The sequence below is a fragment of the Homo sapiens genome, chromosome 4 (assembly GCF_000001405.40).
Source record: "Homo sapiens chromosome 4, GRCh38.p14 Primary Assembly".
NCBI lineage: Eukaryota > Metazoa > Chordata > Mammalia > Primates > Hominidae > Homo > Homo sapiens.
The window spans coordinates 186,718,560-186,727,202 of NC_000004.12; the positions used below are offsets into that span (position 1 = coordinate 186,718,560).

The 8,643-nt window shown below is 49.7% G+C and overlaps 1 protein-coding gene across 4 annotated transcripts in view, besides 3 other annotated features; it reads right to left on the reverse strand.

The window, feature by feature from the left end:
* The window catches only part of FAT1 (FAT atypical cadherin 1), a 138,903-nt gene extending 130,766 nt beyond the window's left edge, over positions 1-8,137 (reverse strand). For 2 of the 4 annotated variants that reach the window (NM_001440455.1, NM_001440456.1), the window contains exon 1: positions 7,795-8,137. The gene's annotated coding sequence lies outside the window, so the exon portion shown is untranslated. Of the gene's footprint in view, positions 1-5,104; positions 5,298-7,794 lie in introns of those variants that run through there. The other 2 variants (NM_005245.4, NM_001440457.1) reach the window with 1 other exon arrangement.
* Positions 4,738-5,239: an enhancer, noted in NCBI's record as "H3K27ac hESC enhancer chr4:187644451-187644952 (GRCh37/hg19 assembly coordinates)". NCBI's record gives its function as "activates a minimal SCP1, AML or CMV promoter by ChIP-STARR-seq in primed H9 embryonic stem cells {active_cell/tissue: H9 hESC(primed)}" and the evidence as "EXISTENCE:reporter gene assay evidence [ECO:0000049][PMID:30033119]".
* Positions 5,740-6,739: an enhancer, noted in NCBI's record as "H3K27ac hESC enhancer chr4:187645453-187646452 (GRCh37/hg19 assembly coordinates)". NCBI's record gives its function as "activates a minimal SCP1, AML or CMV promoter by ChIP-STARR-seq in primed H9 embryonic stem cells {active_cell/tissue: H9 hESC(primed)}" and the evidence as "EXISTENCE:reporter gene assay evidence [ECO:0000049][PMID:30033119]".
* Positions 7,922-8,423: an enhancer, noted in NCBI's record as "H3K27ac hESC enhancer chr4:187647635-187648136 (GRCh37/hg19 assembly coordinates)". NCBI's record gives its function as "activates a minimal SCP1, AML or CMV promoter by ChIP-STARR-seq in naive H9 embryonic stem cells {active_cell/tissue: H9 hESC(naive)}" and the evidence as "EXISTENCE:reporter gene assay evidence [ECO:0000049][PMID:30033119]".

An 8,643-nucleotide genomic window follows, 5' to 3' on the forward strand; every position in this document is an offset into this window, starting at 1 on the left:
AGGAGGCTGAAGCAGGAGAATCGCTTGAACCCGGGAGGCGGAGCTTGCAGTGAGCCGAGATTGCGCCACTGCACTCCAGCCTGGGCGACAGAGCCAGACTCCGTCTCAAAAAAATAAAATAAAATAAAATAAAATAAACTTCATTCAAACCTTTGCTTCTTTCAAACAAACACTCTTATTCTTCTCTTTTTTTATACTGGCAAAGATCGCAAGAAAAGGAGTTTCACAGCACCGCCCTGGCTTCCTTAGAACTCCCTCTCCGCCAAACGCTGCTCCACAGAGATCCTGCAGGTCCACCCTGGCAGAACAGCCGTTCCCGCATCACAAGCTAATGTCAAACCAATGACCTTTTCTCAGTGCTCATCCTCCTTGATTTCATGACACCTTTGACACCACTCACTCCCCTCCCCAACACTCCTGATCCTTCATTCGGTCACAGAGTCCCCCAAAACAAAGAGGCAATCCACAGGTATGAAAAATGAATGACAACATTCTCCTGATTCTCTTCCATACTCTTTTATACTCTACACTGACTCACCTACAACTCTGGCATTACAAACTTGTCTTCCAACTCTTCCTCCACATGCATTTATTACCACCCTTAAAGATCTCATCTACTCTGCCTCAAATCATGAAGGATCAGTGCACCAAATCTGCAATTTCAGCTCTAACCTCTCTCAAACACCTCGTAACATTCCTCCTAAAATACCATCAAACCTAAGTTATACGATTGGCCTTCACTATATAAGAGTTCTGCATCCATGGATCCAACCAACCTCAGGTTGAGAACGTCTTTAAAATAAACAATAAAACAGTAAAAATATAAATAGTACCCCATTTTATATCAGGGACTTGAGCATTCTCAGATTTGGGTATAAAATCCCAAACCTCCCTTAGAGACCAAGGGACAACTATATAGACTTTTCACCCTTTCGCCATTGCAAAATAACAGCTCTTCCAGTTATTTTCCAATCTCACCACTTCCCAAATCAACCAAGTTTGCAAACTAACAAATCAAACAAAAAGGAAGGGGTTGGGAGAACATCAAATGTGGAACCTAGCTCCAGCTTTGTCACTAATCAACTGTGTGAATTCAAGGAACTTGCTTAATCCTTTCGACTCTATGTATTCGAGAAATTGAAGGATGGACTAAAATCTTTACAGCCTCCTGGCTCTCAAACCTTCATTTCTCAAAAGTTATCCAAACTTGACATTTCTTTCTCAATTTCTCAAAATGGTTCCCTTTGCATTTCTGCTGCTACCACCTAGTTAGAATGGGTATTTTGTTCATGCAGAGTATTCCTACAGTCTTTTGGTATTCCTGCTTTCTGCCCCCAATCCCAGTCAACCTATTCAAACTTCTTTGTGATATTATTCTTTAGCTTGAAAATATTCAGTATTTCCCCTTAGCCTGCTAAGTATATGATTCTTAACCTTGCATTAAAGACCTTTGATAATCTAACCTCTAACTAATTTCCTAATTTCCCAACACTACTTCTTATTTCAAAACAAAAAGGCATACTTCCCAGACTTGCAACAAGTTCAGTAACCAAGCTGTCTTGAGCCAATAACACCACCTAGTGGTGAAGGCTCTAAAGTAATGTAACATCTTGACCTCTTCCCTTCCGAAAGATAATGCAAACATTACTATTTTCTTTGTTTCCTGCCCTCCACTCCTCACATACAGCTTATTTGTTTTCACCTTTCTCTTCAACGTTTCTTTCTTTTTCTCTCTCCTTAACCTCTGCCTCATAAAAACAATCCTCCCTTTTTTAATAAGATTATTTAAGTCATAGTCAAGATTCTCTATGTTCTACCTAGACAAAAAAAAGAAGCCAATCCTTTTCCTAAGATAACATGGTACGGTGAGGTCTTCAGAATTTCTCTCCACTCATCACACCACAAGCCACACTATGCTTTCTATAACTTGCTTTGCACACATCATTTCCTCTGCTTGAATTGTTCCCCTCTGATTCACACTTCCCTCAGAACTCACATTATCCTAAATCCACCTGCCCCAGATCCCCCAGCTCACTGAGGTGCTGCTATGGACCACCTTGACCTGAATGGATCTCTTATCACACTGGTCTATAAGAGACTGTGTACTTGTCCTCTCCCTTATCAGACTACGAGCTGCTTGAGGGCAGGAAACACGATTTGTTCAGCACTAGATGTTGTGTCTGGCCCAATGTTTGACACAGAGGAGGTCCACTATTGTTGGATTGGTAAATGGACAGATGAATAAAGCGTTAAGAGTGAGAAATGTGAGGCAGGACTGTGTTGGGGAGGGGATATAGAGAGGGATAACATAGGAAAATAAAACATCCATCCTTCTCAAATTAACAGAAAATCCAGGCACAACCACGAGGCTGGTAACAACACTGCAGGTGGCTGCTCTGTAGAGGACTCATTTCCAATAGCTCAGAAAGAGGTCACCACCCACCTTACGCTGCCTCAAAATTGGCTATAGATAATGCCAGATCAGTGTCTGTGTTGCAGATTATCACAAAGCTCTAACCTTAATATTCTATGAAGGATACAGATTAAATCATGACTAATATTTCCTAAGCAGTGTATAGAAGCCTTTATTATTTTTACTTTATAGACTTATCTTCACATACATAATGAACCCTTGGAATTAAGCAAGAATTCAGGCAATGTATTTAAATCTGGGACTTACAGTAAAAGATGACTTAAAAAACTTAAAAGAGTGAAATATGCAGATTCCTCATCAGAATATATTTTTGAAATGAAAAGTTCCCCTCAGGTATGAGAAAATGGCAACTTCCTGATCTTAACTGATGTATATCACTCATTTCAAAAACTCTTCTCCAGTGTCTAAGGATAAATAAGCACTTGCAAACTGAACAATTAAGTGAGACCAAAAGATAGAGTTTGGCTTCAACTTCTACATAATTTGGTCAAAAGAACAATTATCTAGCGCAAATCCCACTCATAAAGATTAAACAGCACATCCAGCCTTACGGCTCCCTGCTATTAAATCAGGTCCTTTAGGCTACAAATTATGCCACTGAGACAGAATCTAATGCAATAATAATGTACTAATTTGATTTGGCTGATTGATTCTACGTAAAATCAGCCAAACTTGGGTGGAAAGCAAGCGGGTAAAGTGTTAAAACATAATCTCTAAGATCCTATCCACCTCTAACATTCAAAGAAACGACTGCTTCAAAGGGACCTCAAAGCAAAGTCTAAAGGCAATGGAAAGGTAGAGGATGATCAGGGGAATGAAAACAGAATTAGTTTGTGCATAATTTTTAAAGATTTTTCTTCTCTTCTTTTTCTTTTCTTTTTTTTCCCCAGGCTGAATTGCAATGGCACGATCTCGGCTTACCACAACCTCCGCCTCCCGGGTTGAAGCGATTCTCCTGCCTCAGCCTCCCAAGTAGCTGGGATTACAGGCATGCACCACCACACTCCGCTAATTTTGTATTTTTAGTAGAGACGGGGTTTCTCCATGTTGGTCAGGTTGGTCTCGGACCCCCGACCTCCGGTGATCCGCCCGCCTCGACCTCCCATAGGGCTGGGTTTACAGGCGTGAGGCACTACGCCCGGCCATAATTTTTAAACATTTTTCTGTTGGCACCTGTCCGGACCATGGATTTAAATGATCTACTAACATGATGAGAACCCAACGGGGATACTTCAAAAGAGACAAATGAATATACAGGTGGCCCGAAATGATTTTATAAAGTCCTCTAACAACCACACTTCTTTCCAGAGTGCCAAAGAATTTGGCTCATTTAAGGTGTTCATTTTTCAAAAAATGGTTATACAAATGCAAACTTCATTCAAATCAAACCTTACCTTGAGCTTGTTAAATGCCATGTTTAGCATCACTCAAGGCTTATACCAATTGTTGTTTTAAAAAATTACATAGTGCTTTAAGTATTTTTACATCTTAAATACAAAGGAATAATTCTAACTGTGGAATCAGAGCTGTCTTCCTAAGACAAAAAGACAAAGACAAATATCACAATTAACTATTAACTGGAGAAACACCTTTTCAAACGTCCCTGTAACAACTGGATGTGTTGGACAGCATAACCAAACTCATTAAGAATAGTGTGAAAAACATCACCATTACCTAGTTCTCACACACAGATACCTTCTTAAACTATCGAAACCTGTATCTGAATATACGAAGCATTAAGAATCTGCTTTTGAAAAGGAAATGAATATCTGAAGGTCATTTTCTTTTCAATCTTTTCTCATACTAATAATCACTGTTAATATCCACTTTTAAAAAATCGCCTCTATCAGGCACCCGGGAATTGCTTAACAAAAGCCACTTAATGAAACCACAGTTCAGACAAAAAAAAAAACTTAACTGCATAGAAAATATTTATGAGTTTACTTTCCTAACTCATACAATTGCGTCCTTGTTTCCAAAGCCTTGCAATTCACATCAGCGGGAACAAAAAAATCTAACACACAGCAGAAAGCTGGCTCTCTAAAAGAAAGCATTTTTTTTTAAAGGCAATGAAGGACCAAAAACTCTTTCTTTTAAAAAGATCTTAGAAGTTCCTCCTCCAGAGAAGACAGAAAACACTGACAAACCGCACATTGTGCAGATGTTCAGCCCCGAAATGCAGCCTCGCAGCCCTTCACTCCGCAGTCCACCGGTTGCATCTGCACCTCCGGGCAGCGCTCCTGCAGGGCGCAAACACCCAGAGACCCAGGGACCCGGCAGCCCCGCGCAGGCCTCCCGCGTGCACCGCTCAGCGAGCGGGTCTTTCGCAGACGGCGGGATGCCCCAGGAGACCGCGAGGCCGGCGCAGCCCGGCGAGCTCCCGGAGGGAAGGCGGCGTGTCAGAAAGGATCGGACCCCAGCAATGGCCCCGGATCGGTCCCGCGCGGTCGCCTCCTTTTCCCGCTCCGCCGCCGGGACCCCCCTAGCCAGTGCTGAATTTCCCAACTGGGAAGGACCGAGTCACTCCACCCTCCGGGAAGTCGCGCGCTCATCCGTTTTCGGCAGCGCCGGAGCCCGAGCCGGGGACCGGGCGGACACCCACAGAGTCCGCACCGCAGCGCGCTGCACGCTCTCGCCCCCGCCCGCCGGCCCGCGCCCCAGCGAACTAACCGCAAAGTTGGCCCGAAGTGGCGACGGCGCTCTCGTGGAGCTCACCCGCCGTCTCAGCGCGCCCCCGAGCAGGGACCGGGCCTGCCGGGGCCCTCGCCGGGCTCGCGCGTCCGCATGGTACCTGCCGCACGAGCCGCTCCCGCGCCCTCTCCCCGCGCCCGGCCGCCCAGCTCGGCGCCGGCGCCTCACGCTCCCCGAGCGCAGGAGATCCCTCCGCCCCGGCCCCGCCCGCCGGCGCCGGCGCTCATTTCTCGGGCGCGGAAACTCGAGCCCACTTTCCCCGGCTGCCGGCTCTGGGACCGCGGGCTCGGCCACGCAGTCCCGCCCGGACCCAAAGAGCCCCAGTCCCTGCGAACACCAGGTCCGTGCTGGGAGACGAGAAGGCGCCCAGCGGGGTCTAGCGCGGCTCCGAGGGGCAGGGCGAGGCTTGTGATGCCGAGGTTAGTTACGGCCAGCCACAGGCGCTGTGCAAGGAATTGGGGAAAGCTCCCTGCCAAGAAAGGGAAACGTTAGCTTAGCTAAAAAAAAAAAAAAAAAAAAAAGGCTGGGGCCTAATGAGAAAGCTTCCCAGAGGCATCCCTTTAGCTTTTCCATAGCCTTCTGGGAGCCCCTGAATCTGCATTTGAATGGCGCGGCTCTGGGTCCGCGAAGGTTTGGTGGGCTGAAGTCGTCCTTCAGGTCTCCAAAGGAATGCAGCTAGGTCGGAATCTACTTCCTCCTTCAATCCCCAGAAAATGGAAACGCTTCCCCCGCGACCTTTTTCTGCCGAGTTAGACCCCAGGCCCTCCCCGCCGCGGGCGCCTGGCCTCCCCCGCTGACACCCCGGACGCCCAGGCCTGTGGGACAAAAGGCAGTCGCGGCGTCCCGCGGGCTTCCTAGCCCGGGAGTCGGCCCCAGGGGCCCCAAAGCGTGACCCCAGGCCGACAACTGCAAGTTCCTAGGCAGAGGGGAAGCCCCAGCGCCGAGAAGCCCGCTCCGAGAACTCCCCGCGCCGGGCGCCCAGCCTGAGCGTCCCGGGCGCGGAGCCCATCCCCGGTGCGGGCAGGGCTCCAGCCGCAGGCTCGGCGCAGGGCGGACTCGGCCGAAGCCCGGAGGGCCGGAGGCGCTGGGACGCAGCCCGGACAAGAGGGCGGACTTGATCTCGGAAAGTTTGTGGGACTCAGGCATTTTAACACTGGGAAGACAAAGAGATCCGATTTCCCTGGGACTGGTGAGGGGAGCTTGGCGGGGAGGGGAACGGCAGGGCAGTCAAGTGTGAAAGAGAATTTCCTGGGTTCAAAGTTAACGCAGTCACCTTATAAGCCATCTTAGAGGTGACCGGAAAAAATAATAATAATAAAGGTGTCTAGCAGGTTGTGGCTGGGAAGGAAAAATAATGCCTGCAAGATGAGTGTGCCGATTCGTAGCCCTATATTCCCTGCCCACCAGTTGGAATACACATAGATTCACACATCCAGCAAATGCAAACTCCATCATCCAAAGACGTGTTTGTCCCGGCCATAATTGCTCCAAGTGCTTACAGGTCAATTTCATACATGGAACACCTCGAAAGTGGGTGACCTGATCTCCAAGCCCAACCGGCTTGTGCCGCTTGCCGAATTGTAAATCTCAGCAAAACCCAAACACACCGGAACTCCAGCCGTTTCCTGGGAGCGAGGAAGCGGGAGTAATGCTAAAAGGGGAAAAGAAGAACAGTAAAAAAAGTACAAAGATACCATTCCCTGACGTAAAATCACGGGATTTTTTTTAAATGGCACAAGAGAATTCCTGGAGAAGATTACCATTAATTAATAAGTAATAACGCTTCCTAGGGCTTACTAGATGTTTTACATCTGTCTGGGAATCCCGATTTTCCAGGCTCCCTGAGAAATCTATCTGCCTGGAAGAAGTTGCACTTCGTCGCCACAGGAGCCGCCGAGAGCCAGGGATGGAGATTTCAGACTTAGGACTCTGCCACGATTCTACTGATCCTTAAGCGCCAACAGAACGAAATGGACATGCCTATTAGCTACCACAAATCGAATTATTTTATATGAGAGAGAGAAATGTGGTTCAAGTTCCACATTTGTCCTTTAAATAATCGACCCTCCCTAACCCTGTCCCCAAAGGCTCGTGGAAATTAGGGAGGGGGTTGGGGAGACGGTTCCAGAAACAAAACGCTTTCCTCCAGCACGGCCTCTACATCCAGTCCACCCAAGCTGATTTTTGTAACTCATATAAAGAATGGGCCCGGGTGGGTGGTCAGTGAAGACTGGGGTGAGCAAGCGCCCACGTCGCCGAGCGCCGGGGAGGTCCAGGTTCGCCTCCGCACAGAACCCTGCAAGGAGCGCGCCTCGCCAGGTGCCCGGACTAGAGGGCGCTGCGCCCCTGCAAATCTCGCGGCCCCGATGCGCCCTCCCTAGGCACCATTGCTATAATAAGTTACATTCAAAATAATGCACAAACAGCATCGCCTCTCAAGTTCTTTTTAACAGTGCTCTATATGTATTTTATGAACTCCCAAAGCTATGCATACGAATCTTTCATCGCCGATCCGCACAAAGCCAGAGGGATGCGCAGCTCCTGGAGCCGAGAACCCGTAGGGCGCACACGCTTCCCCGCACTCGCTTAGAGCCACACACCCCACGTAATTTCATTAACGTTTAAACTTAAATGCCAAAAGGCATGCACGATTTGAACAAAGAACTCACCAGTCTAGCCGAGTCCTCGGCCCTGGGCTCTAAAGTCCTCGGCAGCTCCGTGATCCCCTCGCGGTGTAGATATGTGTTAAGAGCCGGGTTTGAAGTACCAACTTTGCCTCCCCGGGATCTTCAGCATGTCCCTAACCAGAGTGCCAACGTCCGTGCCGCCGGGACCCAGGCGGCCGCATCTCCGGAGGCTTCCGACCAGGGCAAACTTAAGCACCAAACGCAGGCGAAAAGAGAGTGCGCGGGGCCGGAACGAGGGCCCGGGAGCAGCCAAGTTTGTCAGGACGTGCCCAGGCAGCCAGCCGCCGAGTTGAGGAGTTGCGGCCGCCGGCTGCGGCGACTCGCTGCCTCTTTCCCCACTCCCTCCCCCTTGGAGGCGGTGGGGGAGGGGAGGTGACGTCAGCGCCCCGCCTCGCCCCCCGCCCCGGGCGCGGACGGGATTCTCCGGCTGGGCGCGCCACCCCGACAGTGGCAGCAGCGGCCGTGGAGGCTGCGGGGGTCCCGGCCTCTGCGGTCTCTCTGGCCGGCCGCAGCTGTGGCGCGGGTGAAACGCCCGCCCTCCTCCTTCGGCTGCGTCTCCCGGGCGCCGGCGAGCGCGGGCGTTCCTCGCACTCAGCGCCTGGAGCCGCCTGGAGCCCCGCTGCGCGCACTTCCCCGGCTCGCGGAGCCCCTCCGGCGGCGTTTCCCACGCCGCGGACTGCAGGTGATGCTCTTCCTCTTCTGCAGCCGAAATTCGTCGCGATGTGTCGCCTGCCAGATTTTTGCTGGGCGGAAGCATGAACAGTCTCTGCAGACTGGCCTGGACGACTTGTACTTTGTGGCCCTCCAACTTCTGGATGTGAATTTTTTTTC